This window comes from Homo sapiens, chromosome 11 (assembly GCF_000001405.40).
Source record: "Homo sapiens chromosome 11, GRCh38.p14 Primary Assembly".
NCBI lineage: Eukaryota > Metazoa > Chordata > Mammalia > Primates > Hominidae > Homo > Homo sapiens.
Window position 1 is genome coordinate 108,194,065 of NC_000011.10, and position 22,382 is coordinate 108,216,446.

Sequence of the window (22,382 nt, forward strand, 5' to 3'; positions counted from 1 at the left end):
ATAATTTCTCACAAGAAAAGATTCTACCATTCAACTTAATAAAAGATCTGACTGCAGAGTAGCGATGAGGAAAGGGTAAAGAAGCAGGTAATCGAAAATGAAAATAGCCACTGAAATTAGGGTTTGCATCCAAGCTTCTAAAGAATCTTGCCTGTTTGACTAGGACATTATAGCTACTTGGGTATCACTGCTTCCAGACCCTCTCAGCAGACAGCTATACATACATGTACAAATGCATATACACAAGCATTTGTATCATCTAGCTGTATATATATATATTAAAATAACTACAGTGTCATACCAATATCTCAGACTATAACCCAACACCACTGGTTTCATTATTATGTTTATTTGTATCTTCTTCCTCACACAGTGAGAAATCTGGCTCCCACTATCTACAATTTGTTATTTGTTCAGAATTGTTAATTTAGAAGAAATCAGAAGGATTTATTTAATATTCATCCACGTTATTGTGTGAATCAATAGCATGTTGCTTTCTATTGCTGAGTAGTGGAGTATTGCTGTTATGAACACATCAGAGTTTGTCAATTTTTGAAAGACATCTTCGTTGTCACCAGTTTTTAAAATTTATTTTTATTTTTTAGAGACAGGGTCTTGCTCTGTCACACAGGCTGGAGTACAGTGGCTGCTCACAGCTTACTATAGCCTCGAACTCCTGGCTTCAAGCCATGTTCCTACCTCAGCCTCCCACAGTGCTGGGATTAAAGGTGTGAGCCATCACGCCTGGCCTGTTTTCAGTATTTTTTTTTTTTTTTTGAGATGGAGTCTTGCTCTGTTGCCCAGGCTGGAGTGCAGTGGCACAATCTCGGCTCACCAAAACCTCTGTCTCCTGGGTTCAAGCGATTCTCCTGTCTCAGCCTCCCGAGTAGCTGGGACTACAGGCGCACGCCATCATGCCCAGCTAATTTTTGTATTTTTAGTAGAGATGGGGTTTCACTATCTTGGCCAGGATGGTCTTGAACTCTTGACCTCGCTATCCACTCGCCTTGGCCTCCCAAAGTGCTGGGATTACAGGTGTGAGCCACCACACTTAGCCTGTTTTCAGTTTTTAGCCACTATAAGCAAACACCAGTGTCTAGGTTTTTCTGTGAGAACAAGTTTTCCAATTGATTTGGGTAATGTGAGTGTTGGTTCACATGAGGAGTACATGCATAATCATATAATCATGTCATAATCATGTCAAACTGTTTTCAAAAGCCACTGTATGACTTTTAATTCTTACCAGTAAGAAACAAGAGTTCCTGCTGCTCTGCATATTTGTGGTGAAGGACTTGCCAGTTTTTAAACCTGTTTTCTTATTTTAGCCATTCTAACAGGAATTAGTATCTCACTGGGGTATTAATTTGCATTTTCTTAATGACTAATGATATGGAAGATCTTTTCATATGCTTATTGCCATCTGTATATTTTCTTTGGTAAAGTATCTTCAGATCTCTTATCCACTTAAAAAATTGTTTGGTTTTTGTTGTTAAGTTTTAAGAATTCTATACATATGTTCTGGGTACAAACCCTTTATCAGACATGTAAGATATAAATATTTTCACCCAGCCTTTTTTTTTTGGGACAGGGTTTTACTCTGTCACCCAGGCTGAAGTGCAGCCGTGCAGTTGTGGCTCACAACAGCCCTGACCTCCTGGGCTCATGCAATCCTCCAGCCTCATCCTCCCAAGCAGCTGGGACTAAGTGCACCACTATACCTGGCTAATTTTTAAAAATTGTTTTCTAGAGATGAGGTCTCACTATGTTGCCCAGGCTGGTACAGAACTCCTGAGTTCAAGCAATCCTCTTGCCTGGGCCTCCCAAAGTGCTGGGATTATAGGCATGAGCCATTGGGTCTGGCCCAGCCTATTTCTTCTAACGTGCCTCTTGTAGAGCAAGTTTTTAATTTTTTATAAAGTTGAATTTGCCTAATTTTTGCCTTTATAGCCCATGCTTTTGGTGTCATATATAAAACTCACTGTCAAATCCAACTTTGCACAATTTTTTTCTTATGTTTTCATTTAGAAGTCTTACGGTCCTGTGTTTTACATTCTGATCCATTTTGGTTAATTTTTGCATAAGGTATGAGGTATTTGTAGAGGTTCTTTTTCTACATATGGATGTCTGAGTGTTCCAGCAACATTTGTTGATAAGACCATCCTTTCTGCAATGAATTGTCTTTAATCCTTTGTCAAAATCAGATGTGTGGGTCTCTACATGGACTTGTATGTGGTTCCACATGCCTAAACTATCAAAAATGCCCCTTCATCTCGATTATCATAGTTTTTTAGTAAGTCTTGAAGTCTGGTAATGTGAGTCCTCCAAGTTGTTCTTTTTCAGAAACTGTTTAGGCTATTCTAGTTTCTTTTCCATTTAAAACTTAGAATTCAGCTTTGTGTTATCTATAAAAATGCTTGCAGGCATTTTGACTGTGAAAAATCTATAATTAAATTGGGAGGAACTAACACCTTAACAATATTGAGTCTCTCAATTTGTACACACAATACAATTCTCCTTTTATTCAGGCCTTAGATCTCAGGCAATTTTGAGCATTTGGATTTCACACATATTTTGTTAGATTATCTCTAAGCATTTTGTTTGTTTGTTTGTTGCTATTATAAACGGGTATTTTCAAAATCCAATTGTTCATTGCAGGCATACGGAATATAATGGATTTGTGTATATTCTGTATTCTATGACCCTGCTTAACTTTAGTTTTGCATCATTTTCAGTTTCCTAAGCAGACATTCATGTTATCTGTGATAGCCTTTAAGGAGCCATGATTAAAATAAAATGGCAAACACCATGTGAAATGATGTAGTTCTGGAAGGTATCCACTATGTACCAAATGATGGTTTGTTGGTCTAGTGATATTTAACAAAAGAGATGACAATAATATATCAAAATATCTGTTTTATATTTGTCTAAAAGGAGCAGCCAGATACAGGTCAGGAAGAAAAAAAAAGGCTTGGAGACAGCAGCAGCGAAACTAATCAGAAACGAGGGTGTCATTTTGAAACTAACTCTCGGAGTCAAAGTTGTAATTCATTTAATAGTTTTGGCATAAATTTGTAAAAAGAAAAGCTGGTCTTCTTTGGGTCTTACCAGTCATGCATGAATATAAACCACCAAATTTCTGCCAATTTCAATTTTTTTTTTCTGATAAGCTGATTTTATGACTATGTTTTTAGTCTCTTGTGTTGATGAAATATTTCCCTTAAGGAACAAATAACTCACCAGTAAGCAGGCTGGAATAAACCCTTCATCTGTACAATGTTCTGCATATTCTTTTAAATCTGAACTTTCCAAAATAAAAGTCTGGCAGGTAGAAATGAGGTTTTCTTGCTGTAAGTAACCTAAATAAAAAATAAAAGTTTAGGTACTTATACTAAATTCTGTACTTTTGGTTAAAACTGCTATTGAAAATGCTGTAGCATGTACTGATGTCACAATTGAAACCTTAGGTGGAATGCTCTAGTGTTTGGCAGCCTTGAACAGAAACACCAGGTTGTGCTGCAATACAAAGTACAGTTCATAGAACAGGTGGCCCTTTCACAAGAAACAATTCTAGCTAAACTAGTAAAATAAAGTGTTTAACAAAGTATAATTACTTCACAGTACTTACAGGAGAACCAATAAATTAATGATAAATAACTATGTCCCTCTACTGCATAACTTCCATAAAGACCAAGTCAGTTGATGGTATAAATTCACTTACTGCGTTATCAGAAAACTATGTTCTCACAACACTGCTATGTATTTGTATACTTCATTTATTTGCCAAATGATTTATAAAAAGAATGAACAGAAGACCTACTCTGCATGAAAGTTGAGACAGGAACTCCCTTAATTCTTAATTTATGCCCTTTGGGAATCAAAGCATTATCAATTCCAACAAGAACATCAACCTTAACTAGTGAAGGAAGGCTAAGGCAGAGTGGGTCAACTGCTTGGCTGAACTAAAGCATGCCCCAAAGCACACACAGACCCCCTTGGCAAACAATGGGATATTAATTTGCTCCCAGTAGTTAAGGAAATCATCATCCAATCAGAGTATCAACTCTTCACAGAATATAGACTGCATAAAATTAGTTCAGCAAACTCACTAGACAAACAGCAACAGCTAAGACAACAACAAACATGGAAGAAGAAAAATCTAATCTCAAGAGTTGTCACATTATATTATTTAAAACATCCTATTTTCCACAAAATATTATGAGATATGCAGAGAAATAAGGAAGTATGGATCATACAGAGTCAAAAAACCAAAAATCTGCCTAGGGAAATCCAGACATTAGACTTGAGACTTTAAATAAGCAATTTTAAATAAGTTGGAAAAACTAAAGGAATCCACGTCTAGAAAATTATGAGAATAATCTCTCACAACATAGAAAATATGAATAAAGAAATACAGTTGATAAGAGCAGGAGACAAACTCCCAAGCAGACGGGTAGGGTACCCGGTGAAACCCGACAACTTTCAAGCCAAAGACAGTCTGAAGCCTGAAAACTGGACTGCCAGTTCTGTGTAGAGCCCATGACCAGAGTGAGAACTTCCTAGATGTCTTTTAGCCAATCAAATGGTGCTTTTTCCAGGTTCACCCATGGACCAATCAGCCTGCACTCTGAGCCCATAAAAACCTCCATTCTGAGCCCATGAAAACCTCAGACTCAACCACACATGGGGACTACCTGCCTTTGGAATCCCCTCTCACATGGAGCTCTACTCACGTTGGGTCCCCTCTCGTGTCGAGAGCTGTTTTGTTGCTCAAGAAAACCCTCTTCCACCTTGCTCACTCCCCAGTGTCCACATAACCTCATTCTTCTTAAACGCAGGACAAGATCTCAGAACCTGCTGAATGGTGGGTGTGAAAGGAACTCTTAACATTGTAGCCCTTCAGCCCTCCGCTGGCACTGGGCAGCTACCCAACAGGAAGCAGGAGTGGGGCTGGGCCAGCCCAGGACTGAAGCAGACTGAAGCAGGGTAGAGGGACGGAATGAGCTGTAACACAAACGAGCTGAAACATGCGCTCCCCTGCCACCTCCGTTTGCCATGCTGTGGGCGGTGGGAAGGAGACAGAGTTGTAACGGTCCTTGGGGGCTCAGACCTCAGAACTCCCTGGGCAACAGCTGGGGCTCTGTGGTTGCTGGTATCTCCAAGTTTTTGGGCGCTGCTGTGTCACCCTCACCCAGACGCCGGCTCCCAAGGTGGAAGACAATCATGGCACAACTGGACCAGCTGCGGGGCTTAATGCAGAGCTGCAGTGGGCATGGAATCCGGGCCAGAAGCAGTCTGCTGGGTCAAGTGGGCAGAGAGGGCCCAGCAATGAGCCTAGAGGCGAGCGAGGCCCAGGCAGGCGCGCCACAGGCCACAGAGATGCTGGACAGCATAGCGGCACTGAATGGATCCTGTGTCATTTCTGGAGGCTTGTCTGGGATCTGTGCAAGGGTAAGAGTGGACCTCTTACACTTTCATTTCTGAGGCTTCTTGCCTTCACATTTTTTTTCCAAAAACGGATGAAGCACTGGGCCTCTGTCAGCCAGTTAAGAGCGAATGGCACAGCTGCAAAGGACAGGCTTGCTGGGGAAGATTTTGTCAAGCCTCTGCCATCACCCTCGGGTACTGGGAATGTTGGCTTTGTTTCAATCCAGTCTCCCTTCACAGAGGTCTAGCCAATGCATAGGATCGGAATAAGGTCCTCGGGCAACTGAAGGCATCTGGCTGAGGCTACACCTCAGTGTTACCTGAAGGCTCCTGGACTGGCCCCAATCCCCAACAGCCCGTTCGGGTGTCAGTCAAGACCTCCAGTCTTTCCTATAGCATTTTCTTTCTCTCTTCCTGGCTCCTATCTCTTCTTCATACACAACGTTAAGGGTGTTGCTGCAAACCACAGTGATAATATTATTGAGTGGAATGAGCATTTTGCTTAGTCATCAGCAGTGTAATTCAGAACAACTTGGTTTTTGTCTGTTCTTAGAAGCAAGAAGGATGCAATGACTGAGAGTTTTCTTTCCCCTGTTGAAGGAATCCATTTGCATTGGGCAAGAGGTTATTTCCCTCAGGCAACTTCCCCTACCTGCGTTTAAGTTGTTTCCGCCCCCGCAATCATGTCAGGAGTCAGCACAGTCCTATGACTACAGGGAGCTTTGCTATGTAAGAGACTGATTTTTTTCCCTCTTGGGAGGCAACTTATTAGGCCAGGCCTCCCCTTCCTTTCTTAGTGTGACTGTGAGGGATGTCTCAGGAAAGCCTTTAATCTGATATTTTTCCCAACCCCTTAGTTATAGTTGAGGGGACCTTTTGTTTACCCATGCCTTTTAAATCATGCCTGAAAGCCCAACTCCTCTGCTAGGCAGGGCTATTTTAGCTGGTACGGGACCCATCATCCTTATGGCTCCAGGACAGACTCTTTGTCTCACCCTAGTGCAGACCAATATTAATTAACCCAGAAGTCTGGGCAACTGAAAGGAAAATTGGTGCAGCCACAACTGCCATACTGGTCTAGGTCCACCTTAAGGATCCCACCTCCTTCTCTAACCAGAGACAATATCCCCTAAAACCAGAAGTTAGGAAAGGGCTAGAAGCCATCACTGATAACTCAAGGATGCAGGGCTTCCTTAAACCCTGCAACAGCCCTTGTAATACTCTGATATTGGATGTACAAAAACCCAACAAAGGAAGGAGACTGGTCCAAGACCTCTGCCTCATTAATGAGGCTGTGGTTCCAATCCATATGGTGGTTCCCAATCCCTATACCCTACTAACTCAAATACTTGAGGGAACTAAATGGTTCACAGTCCTGAACCTAAAAGACATCTTTTTCTGCATACCATTACACCCCAACTGCCAGTATTTATTTGCATTCAAAGATCCATCCAACCAGACCACAAAGCTAACCTGGATGGTGTTACCGCAGGGATTCTAAGACAGCCCCCAGCTGTTTGGGCAGTTCCTTTATCCTCAGGTGAAAGTTTTACAATATGTAGATGACATTCTCCTTTGCGTTCCAATTGAGGAAGTCTCAGGAGGACAGTAAGGCTTGTCTTAATTTTCTGGCTAACAGAGGATATAAGGTCTCAAAATCTAAGGCTCAGCTCTGTCAGACTTCAGTGAAGTACCTAGGTCTAGTCTTGTCAGAGGGGACCAGGGAACTAGGTGAAGAAAGAATTAAGTCCATCTCCTCTTTTCCTCTCCCCAAAACCCTCAAGCAACTGAGAGGATTCTTGGGGATTACAGGACTATGGATACCTGGGTATGGTGAAATAGTTTGTCCCTTATATCACATAATAAAGGAGACTCAGGCAACTAAGACTCACTCCCTAATTTGGGAACCAGAGGCTAAAAGGACCTTTGACCAACTGAAACAAGCCTTGCTTGAGGCACCAGCCCTTAGTCTTCCCATAGGGAAGACATTCAATCTTTATGTATCAGAAAGGAAAGGAATGGCCCAGGGAGTTCCAACTCAGGCCCAAGGTCCAGCCCAGAAACCTGTAGGTTACCTAAGCAAGGAGCTGAATTTGGTAGCTAAAGGATGGCCAGCCTGCCTCCGGGCAGTCACAGCAGTAACCTTGTCAGTACCAGAGGCCACTAAGGTGACCATGGGGTATAACGTAACCATTTATACTCCACATAATGTGGCAGGACTGCTGTTCTCTAAGGGGAGGCTCTGGGTAGTGGATGACCATCTCCTCAAATATTAAGCTGTGCTATTAGAGAGATCTGCAGTTAAGAATCTGTCCTTCCCTAAACCCAGCAACTTTCCTCCCAGAGAAAGCTGGGGAGCTTGAACATGACTATGAACAGATAGTAGTGCAAACCTATGCGGTCAGAGAGGACCTTGAAGAAACCTCCTTAGAGAACCCAGACTGGACTCTCTTTACAGATGGAAGTTCTTTTGTGGAATAAGGGATCCATAAAGCAGGGTATGCAATAGTCACCCTAAATGATATTATTGATAGCATGCCTCTCTCCTCAGGCACAAGTGATCAACTAGCTGAGGTAACTGCCCTCACAAAGGTGCTTGAATAAAGCAAAGGGAAAGCAGTTAACATTTATACTGATTCTAAGTATACTTTCCTAGTCCTCCCTGCCCATGCCACTATCTGGAAAGAAAGGGACTTCCTCACAGCTAATAGGTCTCTCATACCACCAGGAAATTAAGATATCATTATCCTCAGTTTTCCTTCCATGGGAAGTGGCAATATTACATTGTAAAGGCCACCAAAAGTGAACAGATGAAATAGCTGAGGGAACTAAGGTGGCAGACCAAGCAGCTAAGTCGGCAGCAAGAGGGCCCCAGATTTCTGATCCACTTGAGGCCCCTCTGATCTGGGAGGGCTCCAAGAGAAATAAAACCTCAATATTCTCCTGTGGAAATAGAATGGGCCACCTCTCAGGGACACACCTTTCAGCCCTCGGGATGGCTGCAATCAGAGGACAGCAAACTTCATCTACCAGCTACCAGCCAGGTAGTTCTTAAAAGTTCTTAAAATCCTTCAGCAAGCCCTCCACCTAGGTAAGCATAAAACCTATCAATTGGCCCAAATGTGGTTTTCAGGTAAAAATCTGCTAAAAATGGTCAAAAAGGTCACTAATGCTTGTGAGACTTGCCTTAGAAATAATCCCCTCAAGCAACATCTTCTCCCTTCTGGAACCCAAATAATGGGAGGTTACCCAGGGGAAGACTGGCAGATAGATTTCACCCCTATGCAGAAGACGAGAGGCATCCACTACCTCCTAGTGTGGGTAGATATCTTCACTAACTGGGTAGAAGCATTTCCATGTTGGACACAGAAAGCCTCTGAGGTGATAAAAGTACTAATTAATGATGTAATTATTCGTTTTGCACTTCCTAAACACCTCCAGAGTGATAATGGGCCTTACTTCAAGGAGGCTGTCACCCGGGGGTCTCAAAGGCAGTAGGCATACAATACTATCTTCATTGTGCTAGGAGACCACAATCTTCAGGAAAGGGAGAAAAGACAGATGATATTATCAAAAGGTACCGCAGAAAACTGTCTTGAGAGACTCATCTGCCCTGTATTACTTTTCTTCCCATAGCCCTACTACATGTCAGAAACACCCCTTCAAAGCTGGGTTTAATTCCCTTTGAAATGATGTACAGACGACCTTTTCTCACCAATGATTTCTTGCTAGACCAAGAAACCTCTGATTAGATTACATGTATAACATCTTTGGCCCATTTCCAATAGGAACTGAAACAACTGTCAGAGGCCCAATTCTGTGAACTAGGGCCATCTCTATTCAACCCAGGGGACATAGTACTGGGTAAAGGCACTTCCTACCCTCTCTCCCTCTCTAGGTCGGCACTGGGAGTGACCTTATACCATACTTCTTTCTACTCCTATGGCAGTAAATGTCACTGGAAAATATTCTTAGATTCATCATACTCGAGTAAAGGCCTGGGAAAACTGACGGAATTATCTCTGTTGACCTGTAACAGTACCCGAAGTACCAGTGTGAAAAAATCAGAGACCTCAAGCTAAATGACAAAAGGTTAAGTGTCATTAACCTACCATGAACATCCTCTTTATAGTCTCTCCTAGGCTTGCTCTTCTCACCCTTGTTCTGTTCCTCACAAGGCATCTTTGCCAAGGACCCCTTAATCCTGAACCCCCAAGGGATTATATACTCCCCTAAACAGTTATTTTTCTTCTAAAGTTTAACTGTCCCCATACAAGATTTAATTTCTTTCACTAGGGTGAAACAGCTCTAGCCATAACATTGTTTCAGCATGTTTAGTCTATTTTGCTCCTTATTTCTGTTATCTTTGGGACTACATTTTTCCCTTCTAGCTCCTCTTTGTATAATACACATATTTGGTCCATGTATATTTAACCTCCTTGTAAAATTTGTTTCTTCTCAATTAGAGATCATTAAACTCCATATGGTCATGCAAATGGAGCCTCAGACGATGGCTCCCTTTTACTGGGAACTCTTAGGCCTCTGAGAGAGATCAGACTGCTGTTTTTGCAAAACAGCACCCCGTCAGCAGAAAGCAGCAATTGTGGTCATTGTCCTTATCCTAATGGCAGTTAGATGTACTTCTTCAGAGGGAGGATTGATAGCAGCAAGAGACAAATTCCCAGGCAGACAGGGGTGGGTCCATGGTGAAACCCAACATTCAAGTCAAAGGTGGCCTGAAGCCTGAAAACTGCATGCCAGTTCCGGACAGAGTCCACAACTAGAATGAAAACTTCCTCGATGCCTAAGGCCAATCCAATGCCCGCCCACAGACCACTCAACATGCACTCCCACATTCTGAGCCCATAAAAACCCTGGACTCAGCAACACGTGGGGTTACCTACCTTTGGGACCCCTATCACACAGAGGGTTATCCACTTTGGGTACCCTCTCATGTTGAGAGCTGTTCTGTTGCTCAATAAAAATCCTTTTCCACCTTGCTCAGTCTCTCATGTCCATGTAATCTCATTCTTCTCAGATGCGGGACAAAACCCTGGAACCTGCCGAACCTGCCGAACCTGCAGAACCTGCCGGTGGGAAAGGGGCTATAACATTGTAGCCCTCCTGCCTTCTGCCAGGAGCGGACAGCCGCCCCACATGACAGGAAGCAGTGGCAGGGCCAAGCAGGCCCAGGAGCCGCAAGCCAGAGTGGGGCAGTGGGCCTGAATGAGCTGTTAACACAAATGAGCTGAAACACATCCCCCTATCATTCGCTGCCTTGTGGATGGCACGAAGGAGACAGAGTTGTAACAGTCCTTTGATCTGAGGAATGGAAACAAATCCAGAATGATGAAAAGTGAACAGAGTCTCAGAGACCTAAGGGATGCCATCAATTTTACCAACAAAAGCATAATGGAAATCCTAGAACGACAGAAATGCCAGAAAGAATATTTGAAGAAATAATGTCTAGAAACGTGCAAATTTGAGAAAAAACTTAATCTACACATGAAGGTAGCTCAACAGTCTCTAAGTAGGATAAACTAAAAGAGATCCATACCTAGACAGACCATAATCAAACTGAAAATACAAAGACAAACAAAATCGTGAAAGCAGTGAGAAACAACTCATCACATACAAGGGTTTCTCAGTAAGACTGACAGCTGATTTCTCACCAGAAACCAGAAGTAGTGAGATGATATTCAAAGACTTGATATTTACTTTGATTGTTGAAGAAAAAAGATAAAAAACTGATAGCAAAAAAAGGTCAACCAAGAATTTTCTTTTCTTTTTGAGACAGCGTTTCACTCTGTTGCCCAGGCTGAAGAGCAGAGGAACCATTATAGCTCACTGTAGCTTTGAATGCTGGGGCTCAATCGATCCTCCCACCTCAGTCTCCCAGGTAGCTGGGATGACAGGAACTCACAACTATGCCTGGCTAATTAAATGAAAAAATTTTTAATAGAGATGGTGTCTCACTATATGTTGCCTAGATAGGTCTTGAACTCCTAGCCTCAAGCGATCCTCCCACCTTGGCCCCCACAAAGTGCTGGGATTACAGGAGTAAGCCACCACAGCCAGCCTCAAGGAAGAATTCTATATCTAACAAGACTCCAAACTAAAACTTTAAAAATTGTATGTTATCAAATAAACAACTAAAAGAATTAGTTGCTAGCAGATTTTCCCTGTAAGAAATACTAAAGGGGGACTCCTTCAGGCTAAAATGAGATGATACTGGAGAGTAACTTGATAACAACATAATATAAAGCAGTATAGGTTAGGTGCAGTGGCTCATGCCTGTAATCCCAGCACTTTGAGAGGTTTAGACGGGTGGATCACTTGAGGCCAGGAGTTTGAGACCAACCTGGCCAACACAGCAAAACCCCATCTCTACTAAAAATACAAAAAAATTAGCTAGGTGTGGTGGGACTCGCCTGTAATCTCAGCTACTTGGGAAGCTGAGACATGAGAATCTCTTGAACTGGGGAGGCAGAGGCTGCAGTGAGGCGAGATCATGCCAAGGCATTCCAGCCTGGGTGACAGAGCGAGACCCTGTCTCAAAAATACATAAATAAATAAATAAAAATAAAATAGTATAAGTGTTTGTTGTACGTAAACTTTCTTCCCCAACTCTGCTTAAAAAGATAACTGTACACAACAATATGGGCATATAATGTATGAAGGTGTAATTTATATGACCTTAAAAACATGATCCAACTATATGCTGTTGTCACAGGATCCTTAGGGTGTCGCTTTTCCAGTTCGAAACCTCTGTGGCTGGTGGTGCCTTTGCCTGAGTTTTGCTAGGGCCTGCTGGGTTTGTTCCGCCCACTTGGCCAAGCAGGCTGTGTTTGGCTCATGCTACTGGGCCTAATCCCATGCCTGCTGGTGGTGAGCCAGGCATGAAGCAGTGAGGGGTGTATGAGTGAGCTCAGCCACCGAGCATAGTCAGGCATGTTGGATGCAGTAGGGCGGGCATATCCAGGCACTGGCTCCCTGTGAGGTTGCATCTGGATCAGACATACCACAGTGGCTTCCACTGTGGGTACTGGGGAACGTAGTGGCACCCTGAAGCTTGGAGACATCAAGAATCCCAGAGCCCCAAAGAGGGTGTCACAACCCTGGTTTGGGGAGCTCTTAGGTCTGGGCTCCCCAAAGGGCCTCAGCTCTTCTTTCCTTCTCATTGTCTGCAACGTGGTGAGCAAGGGGGCATGTTTCAGCCCTGTTTTACAGATCTTTCAGTCCCGCCTTTCAGTGGGTCCCATGTTATTATCCTGCGTCCAGGAAGAATGAGGTTCACGGTCAACTGGAAGGTGCTCAAGGCGGAGAGGAGCTTCACTGAGTGACAGAACAGCCCTCAGGAGACCTGCAGTGGGTAGCTCCTTTCCGTAGGCAGGTCGTCCCCACGAGTATCCAGCTCTCAGTGGAGAGGATACCCACAGTGGGAAGCTCCTTTCTGCAGTGCCTTTCTGTGCAGGCAGGTCATCCTGATGAGTGTCCAGCTCTCAACAGAGAGGAGACCCACAGTGGGTAGCTCCTTTCTGCAGGCAAGTCATCCTGACGAGTGTCCAACTCTCAGTGAATAGAGCTGCAGTGGGTAGCTCCTTTCTGCAGGCAGGTTGTCCCAACAAGTGACCAGTTCTCGGTGGAGATGAGACCCACAGTGAGTAGCTCCTTCTCACAGCTGGTAGTCCCAACATCTCTGTGAGTCTGGCTGAGTCTGGGGTTTTTATGGACCTCAAATGGGAGTAAGTATGTGCTGATGGGTCCATGGACAGCCATGGGTGGGTGCAGAAAAAGCACCATAAATTCTCACTCTGGGCCATGGATCTGCAGTCTGGCCCCCAGGCTTTAGCTGTCTCTGGCTTGAAGGTGTGGCTTCACCAGGGGCCTGCCCCTTTCCACCTAGGAGACCATCTGCCTCCTGCCACCATCAACCTGACATCCAAGGTGCCCACGGTGCTTAGGCTGTTCATGCCAAGGGGCAGGCCCATGCCGAGTTGCCCTCAGCCTCACCCTTGGCCTCCCTCATGTGCTCATCAGAGCTCAAAGTCCAGAGGGGGACCGAGGCAGCATGAGGCTGGTGTGTTGGTGCTGCCCCTAGTGTGCACACACCCAGCCAGGTCCCGACAGCAGCAGGCTCAGCCTCAACTTTACTTTGAAATCGGAGTGGGCACCGGGAGCAGGGAGAGGCCAGGCAGCGGGAGTAGGCGCTTCCAAGCCTGCAGGGAAAGGGGGGCTTCCCTGGCCCCCGAGAGTGCAGGGATGCCTGCTCCACAGCTGCAGCTGCACCTGGGAGGGCAGGGCTCCTGCCCATCCAACTTGGAAGGGGACAGGGCACCCATCTGTTCCCAGCTCCTGCTGCCCTGTGGAGCACACAGCCCTGGCCACACCTCCCGTGCTGCAGCCGGCGTCTTGGCACCAGGTGCTGGACTGATTCAAAGACACAAACAGGGTGAAAGTAAAAGGATAGGAAAGATGACTGGATTACACCATCCAGTAATCAAGTAAGACTTAAAGTTGTTATGTTAATACAGGTTGAGTATATCCCTTATCTGAAATGCTTGGGACCAGAAGTGTTTCAGATTGTTCTCCCTTTCAGATTTTGGAACATTTGCATTATACTTACTGGTTGAGCATCGCTAATCTGAAAATCTGAAATGCTCCAATGAACATTTCCTTTGAGGGTCATGTTGGTATACAAACAGTTTTGGTTTTGGAGCATTCTGAATTTTTGCATTAGGGATACTCAACCTGTCTCAAAGTAGGTATTAAGACAAATATTGTTACTAGAGACAAAGATAATGACAAAAAAGGTCAATCCACAAAAAGATAACATGGCTGGGTGAAGTAGCTCACTTTGGGGAGGCTGAGGTGGTAGAATCGCTTGAGCCTAGGGTTCAAGACCATCCCGGGAAACCTAGTGAGAACCCACCTCTATGGTTTTTAGAAATTAGCTGGGCTTGGTGGTGTGCACCTGTAGTTCCAGCTGCTCTGGAGGTGGAGGTGGGAGGATAGCTTGAGCCCAGGAGGTCGAGGCTGCAGCGAACCATGACTGCACCACTGCACTCGAGCCTGGGCAACAGGGTGAGACCCTGTCTTTAAAAAAAAAAAAAGAGAGAGAGAGAAATAACACTTATAAACATAAATACACCTAACTGAGCCCAAAGTATAAAGCAAACTCACAGAAGGGAAAGGAGAAACAGATAATTCAACAATAAAAGTTGAAGGCTTCTATACCACACTTTCAGTAATACATAGAACAACTAGGCAGAAGATCAATAAACAAACAGAAAATTTAAACTGTAAAGCAACTAGACCTACCAGATAGCTATAGAACATTCCAGTCAAAAACAGCATAATACACATTTTTCTCAAGTGTACATGGAACATTTTCCAGGGCCGACCATATATTAGGACATGAAATAAGTGTCAATAAATTTATGAGATGCAACTAAAGCAGTGCACAGTGGAAAATTTACAGCTATAAACACCTGTATTTAAAAAAGAGATGCCAGGCATGGTGGCTCACGCCTGTAATCCCAGCACGTTGGGAGGCTGAGGCAGGCAGATCACCTGAGGTCAAGAGTTTGAGGCCAGCCTGGCCAACATGGTAAACTCCGTCTCTACTAACAATATAAAAAATTAACTGGGTATGGTGGCAGGCGCCTGTAATCCCAGATACTCAGGAGGCTGAGGCAGGAGAACTGCGTGATCCTGAGAGGCGGAGGCTGCAGTGAGCCAAGACCATGCCACTGCACTCCAGCCTGGGTGACAGGGCAAGACTCCATGTCAAAAATAAATAACTAAATAAAATAAATAAATAAATAAAAAGATAAGCCAAGCATGGTGGCATATGCCTATAATCCCACCTATTTGGCAGGCTGAGGCAGGAGAGTACCATGAGGTGAGGAATTCAAGAGCCTGTGTCTAAAAACATCTCTTTAAATTAGGTAGGTGTGCTGGCACGTGCCTGTAGTCCCAGTAGTTCAGGAGTTCAAGGCTGTAGTGAACTATGATCGCGCCACTGCACTCTAGCATGGGCAACAGACTGAGATCTTGTCTCAAAACAAACAAACAAGTAAACAAAAACCTTAAAATTTAAAATCAATTACCACATTGGGCCAGGCACGGTGGCTCACGCCTGTAATCCCAGCACTTTGGGAGGCCAAGGCAGGCAGATCACGAGGTCAGGAGATCGAGACCATCCTGGCTAACATGGTGAAACCTCCTTTCTACTAAAAATACAAAAAATTAGCTGGGTGTGGTGGCAGTCGCCTGTAGTCCCAGCTCCTCGGGAGGCTGAGGCAGGAGAATGGCATGAACCTGGGAGGCAGAGCTTGCAGTGAGCGGAGATCATGCCGCTGCACTCCAGCCTGGGGAACAGAGTGAGACTTCATCTCAAAAAAAAAAAAAAAAAAAAAAAAATTCAATAACCACATCATCTACCTTAAGAAACTAGAAAAAGAGCAAAGCAGAAGGAAATAAGCAGAGTATACATAAATGAAACAAAAATAGAGAAAAATGAATAAAAACAAAAGCTAGTTCTCTGAAAACGTCAACAATGTTGACAATTCTGTAGCTAGACCAACCGAAAAAAAAAAGAGAATACTCAAATTATACTAGATCAGAAAAGTAAGAGGGGATATTACTATCAATATTATAGAAATAAATGGGAATGTAAAGGAACAGTATGAACAGTTGTTATCTCAACAATTTAGAGAATCTAGATGAAATGAGTAATTCTTAGAAAGACCCTCATGTAGTTTAGATGTTGCTCCTGCTAAATCTCACCTTGAATTGTAATCCCCAATGTTGGAGGTGGGGCCTGGTGGGAGGTGTTTTGGCCACAGGGGCAGATTCCTCATGCCCTGGTGCTATCCTTGAGATAGTCAGTTCTCACAAGACCTGGTCATTTAAAAGTGTGTGACACCTCTTTCTCTCTTGCTCTCACTCCTGCCATGTGAGAGGCCAGCTTCCCCCTTCACCTTCTGCCATGATTGTTAAGCTTCCCAAGGCCTCCAGAAGGCAAGCAGATGCCAGCACCATGCTTCCTGCAAAACCTAAAGAACTGTGAGCCAATTAAAACCTCTTTTCTTTATAAGTTACCCACTCTCAGGTGTTTCTTCATAGAAACACAAGAACAGACTAATAGACCCAAACTATGAGAACTGACTCAAGAAGAAACAGAAAATCTGAACAGACCTATAACAAGAAATGGAATTTGTAATAAAGAAACCTCTCACGAGGAAAAGCCCAACTGGGATCAAATGCCCTCACTGGTGAATTCTACAAAACATTGAATGAAACACCAATCCTTTACAAACTCTTTTTGAAATAGTAGGAGAGGACTTCTCAACCCATTCTTTTAGACCAATATTGCCCTGATACCAAAACAAGAGAAAGACATCACAAAACTACACGCCAATAATCCTTATGAAACTGGACATGGGAGCCAGGGTCAATGGCTCATGCCTATAATCCCAGCATTTTGGGAGGCCGAGGTGGGTGGATCATGAGGTCAGGAGATTGAGACCATCCTGGCCAACATGGTGAAAACCCATCTCTACTACAAATACAAAAATTAGCTGCGCCTGGTGGTGTGTGCCTGTAATCCCAGCTACTCGGGAGGCTGGGACAGAATCGCTTGAACCAGGGAGTCAGAGGTTGCAGTGAGCCGAGATCGCGCCACTGCATTCCAGCTTGGCAACAGAGTGAGACACCGTCTAAAAAAAAAAAGAAAAGAAACAAAGTGAACATAAAAGTCCTCAACAGGGTGGGCACAGTGGCTCACGCCTGTAATCCCAGCACTGTGGGAGGCCGAGGCAGGAGGATTGCTTGAGCTCAGGAGTTCCAGACCAGCCTGGGCATAATGGCAAAAATGCCATCTCTACAAAAAATACAAAAGTTAGCTGGACATGGTGGTGTGCACCTGTGGTCCCAGCTACTTGGGAGGCTGAAATGAGAGGATCACTTGAGCCTGGGAAGTCAAGGCTGCAGTGAGCCATGATTGGGCCACTGCACTCCAGAATAGGTGACAGAGTGAGACCCTGTCTTCAGGAAAAAAAAAAAAAAAAATCCTTAACAAAATACTAGCAAATCAAGTCCAGCAACATATAAAAACAGTGATGCACCATGACCAAGTGGGATTTAATGCAGTAATGCAAGGTTGGTTGAATAAAAATAAATCAGTGTAATATACTATATCCCTAACGTAAAAGACGAAAGTCACATTATCATGGAAAAAGAACTGAACAAAATCCAACCAATCTGGGCAATATAGTGAGACCCCCATCTCTGCAAAAAATTAAAAATTTAGCTGGGTATGGTGGCATGTGCCTATAGTTCCAGTTACTTGGGAGGGTGAGGTAGAAGGATAGTTTTAGTCTGGGAGGCTGAGGCTGCAGTGGGCCATAATCATGCCACTGCAGTCCAGCCTGGATGACAGAGTAAGAACCTGTTTCAAAAGCAAAACAAAACAAAACAAAACTCTACCAAAGAAACCAAAAAAAACAAAATCCAACACCCTTTCATGATAAAAACACTAGAAATAAAAAGAAATTTCCTCAACCTCATAGAGTTATCTATTAAAAAAAAAAAAAGCCAAGTAACATCATCTTCAATGGTTTAAAATTCAAACCTTTCCCCATAAGATCAGGGAAAAGGTAAGAAGGTCTGTTCTTGTCATTTCTATTCAACATTGCATGTATCCTCTAGCCAGGGCAATTAGGAAAAAACTTGAAATAAAAAGCATCCAGGCCGGGTGCAGTGGCTCACACCTGTAATCCCAGCACTTTGGGAGGCCGAGCTGGGCGGATCATTTGAGGTCAGGAGTTCCAGACCAGCCTGCTCAACATGGTGAAACCCCGTCTCTACTAAAAATACAAAAATTAGCCAGGTGTGGTGGTGCATGCCTGTAATGCCAACTACTCAGGAGGCAGAGGCAGGAGAATTGCTTGAATCCGGGAGGTGGAGGTTGCAGTGAGCTGAGATAGGGCCACTGCACTCTAGCCTGGGCAACAGAGAGAGACTCCGTCTCAAAAGAAAAAAAAAAAAAGCATCCAGATTGGAAAGGAAAAAATCAAGATTACCCCTATTTGCAGATGACATGTCTTATATAGAAAATCCTAAGGAAGCCATAAAAAACAACAACAACAACAACAAAAAAACTATTAGAGGCCAGGCACCACGGCTCATACCTATAATCCCAGCACTCTGGGAGGCCAAGGCAGGCAGATTGCCTGAGGTCAGGAGTTCGAGACCAGTCTGGCCAACATGGTGAAACCCCGTCTCTACTAAAAATACAAAAAAATGAGCCAGGCATGGTGGTGTCCACCTTAATCCCAGCTGCTAGGGAGGCTGAGGCAGGGGAATCACTTGAACCAGGGAGGTGGAGGTTGCAATGAGCCGAGATGGTGCCATTGCACTCCAGCCTGGGCAACAGAGCAAGACTCTGTCTCAAAAAAAAAAAAAAAAAAAAAAAAAAAGGAGTTAAGAAACCTCCCTGGGCGGGGCATGGTGGCTCATGCCTATAATCCAGCACTTTGGGAGGCCAAGGCCAGCAAATCACCTGAGGTCGGGAGTTCGAGACCAGCCTGACCAACATGGAGAAACCCTGGTGCTACTAAAAATACAAAGTTAGCTGGGCAAGGTGATGCATGCCTGTAATCCCAGCTATTCCAGAGGCTGAGGCAGGAGAATCGCTTGAACCCGGGAGGCAGAGGTTGTGGTGAGCCAAGATTGCGCCATTGCACTCCAGCCTGGGCAACAAGAGCGAAACTCTGTCCCAAAAACAAAACGAAACAAAACAAAAACTATTAGAGCTAATAAATGACTTCGACAAGGTTGCAGGATACACAGTGAATATATAAAAGTCAATAAATCTCAATGAACTACCAAAAATTAAGAATGCAATGCTAGTTACAATAGCATCAAAAGAAATAAAATACTTAGGAATAAGTTTAACAAAAGTAAAGGACTTGCATACTAAAAACTGGAAAACGTCACTGGAGGAAATTAAAGACCTAAATCCACGCAAAGACATACTGTGTTCATGGACTGAAAGGTTCAATATTGTTAAAAACTCAATACTCCCAAAATTCACCGATACATTCAACACAATTCCTATCATAATCTCAACTGCCTTTTGTGCAGAAATTGACAAACATCCTAAAACTCCTAAGGTAATACAAGGGGGCTGGAATAGCCAAAATAATCTTGAAAATGAAGAAAAAGTTGAAGCACTTACACTTACCAATTTCAAAACTTACTGTAAAGCTACAGTAATCCAGACGATGTACGGGCATGAGGTTAGACACAGAAATTAGTGGAACAAAATAAAAAATCCAGACCTTTCTTATTTATCTAGTCAACTCTGAAGCATGGAATCCAGACATTTATGGTCAGTTTATTTTTTTTCAGAGACAGAGTCTTGCTCTGTCACCCAGGCTGAAGTAGAGTGGCTCAATCATAGCTCACTATAACCTTGAACTCCTGGGCTGAAGTGATCCTCCCACTTCAGCCAACCCAGTAGCTAGGACTAGAGGCATGTACCACCAAATAAATGCCCAGCTAATTACTTACTTATTGGTACAGATGGGGTGTCTCAGTATGCTGCCCAGGCTGGTCTCGCTCCCCTGGCTTCAAGCAATCCTCCTGCCTTGGCCTCCCAAAGTGTTGGGATTACAGGGTGAGCCATTACAGCTGGCCTGCATTTTTCATAACAGTGTCCATTAATGAATGGACAAACAAAATATGGCATATTCATATAATGAAATATTCAGCTATAAAAAGGAATGAAGTACTAATACCTGCTACAACATGGAATAAGGCTGAAAACATTATGCTATGTGAAAGTCAGACACAAAAAGCGAAATATTCTATTTCATTTATGTGCAATGTCCAGGCAAGGCACATGTATAGATACAGAAAGTAGATTTGTGGTTGGCAGAGGACGGGGCAAGGGGGAATTGGAAGTGACTTAATAGTATAAGGATTCTCTTTGGAGTGATGGAAATATTGAAATTACTGGTGATATCTGCACATTATGAATCCATAAATATCCTGGATTTTCATACCCTGAAAAACAACGAAGTTTACATTTTGTAGTATGTGCATCATATCTCAATAAAAAAATATGATTCCAATTTTTTTTTTTTTTTTTTGAGATGGAGTCCCGCTCTTGTCACCTGTGCTGGAGTGCAATGATGCAATCTCGGCTCACTGCAACCTCTGCCTCCCAGGTTCAAGCGATTCTCCTGCCTCAGCCTCCCAAGTAGCTGGGATTACAGACGCCTGCCACCATGCCTGGCTAATTTTTATATTTTTAGTAGAGATGGGGTTTTGCCATGTTGGCCAGGCTGGTCTGGAACTCCTGACCTCAGGTGATTTGCCCGCCTCGGCCTCCCAAAGTGCTGGGATTACACGCGTGAGCCACTGCACCCGGCCTATGATTTCAAATTTTTAATGTGTCGTATGAGGTTCTACTTGCTTTGTACCCTAATTTCCTCTTCAGCCTATGTTTTACCATTCCATCGCTTCCAGCCAAACTGGTCTTTCAGTCCCACAGATACACATTGATTATATTTCAAGGCCATTGTTTATTCTATTTCCTTTGCTTGGGCAGCTAATCTTTTCTTAACCTAGCTATCTTCAACTCATTCTTCACAGTTTAGTATAATTACTCCCTATTCCCTACTATTAAATATTCCCTTATAGGTATTACTTAATACTTATAAGTATTCCCTTATATTTTCCTTTGAAGTACACTTATCTCAGTGCTGGCATAATAGTCAGTAAGTATTTGTTAGCTACTGAAATTATAAGTGGGAGCTAAAGGATGAGAACACACGGGCACATAAAGGGAACAACACACACTGGGGCCTATTGGAGGTGAAGGGTGGGAGGAGGTAGAGGATCAGGAAAAATAACTAATGGGTTCTAGGCTTAACACCTGGGTGATGAAATAATACGTACAACAAACCCCTATGACACAAGTTTACCTATATAACAAACCTGCACATGTACCCCTGAATTTAAAAGATAAAAAAAAGAAATTATGTCTAACGTCTCTTCCAACTTTATAACGTTCTACTCTCTTCACCTGGAACTGTATCGTTAACCAGGTCCAACAGGTGAAAAACCTAATAAGGTTGCCTACAAAGTCATTATACACTAAGGTTTTAAAAAGGAAAGGGCAAGGATATGGTCATCTCGTTACAGGCAATGCCCTAGCTGTGATTTGGGAATCAACTCACCACTCTCTACTTGTTGATGAATCTGTTTTCCAACCTCTTGCTAACTAATAAGAAGAAACAAACAAATATACAAATCAAAAACCAAAGGCATTGTGTTTTGGAGAAAGCATTTGGATATCTGAAGAAAGCTTTATCTCAGATAACATGACTTCAATCTTCCTATCATTGAACATCAAACCACAGATGTGAAATTAATTAGATCAAAGATACACTGCAATGTTTTCTTCTCTTTTTGTGAAAACTAGCTGGCTGAAAAGTAATTTTTATGATGGCTGGCTTTCCGACCGTTATAATATTTGGAATAGGTGAGTTAGCTGTTACTAGCTTTTTGTAAACACAAAAATTTAAAACTTCTACAGACTATTAGAATCACCTTAAAATTAGGACAGTTGGAGCTTTTTCCTCATATGCTTCAAGATTTAGATTGAACACCTCAAATATACTTCCTTTTCATGGTGGAGTTTCAAGTACTTATCACCCTAGATGCCTTCAGTCACTTGGGGACTTCTGATAGACGGTGGTATTAAAATCTACTATAGATTTGCAGTAGATTTTTATCTATCTTAAAGTAGATTTGCTTTCCCCTAGACCATGCATTCTCAAAAGGAGTCATACTGCCCTAAGAGGCTGAAAATTGGTTCTGGGGCAGGGAGGAATGAAGAAAATCTCCCTCTTTTTATGCATAAATCACAGATACACATGATA

At 43.3% G+C, this 22,382-nt stretch overlaps 1 protein-coding gene across 3 annotated transcripts in view; it reads right to left on the reverse strand.

Moving 5' to 3' along the window:
* The window catches only part of NPAT (nuclear protein, coactivator of histone transcription), a 65,424-nt gene that overhangs the window by 36,850 nt on the left and 6,192 nt on the right, over positions 1-22,382 (reverse strand). For all 3 annotated transcript variants that reach the window (NM_002519.3, NM_001321307.1, XM_011542854.3), the window contains exon 2: positions 3,238-3,356. In NM_002519.3, coding sequence (NP_002510.2) covers positions 3,238-3,356 — 119 coding nt within the window. The remainder of the gene's footprint in view (positions 1-3,237; positions 3,357-22,382) is intronic.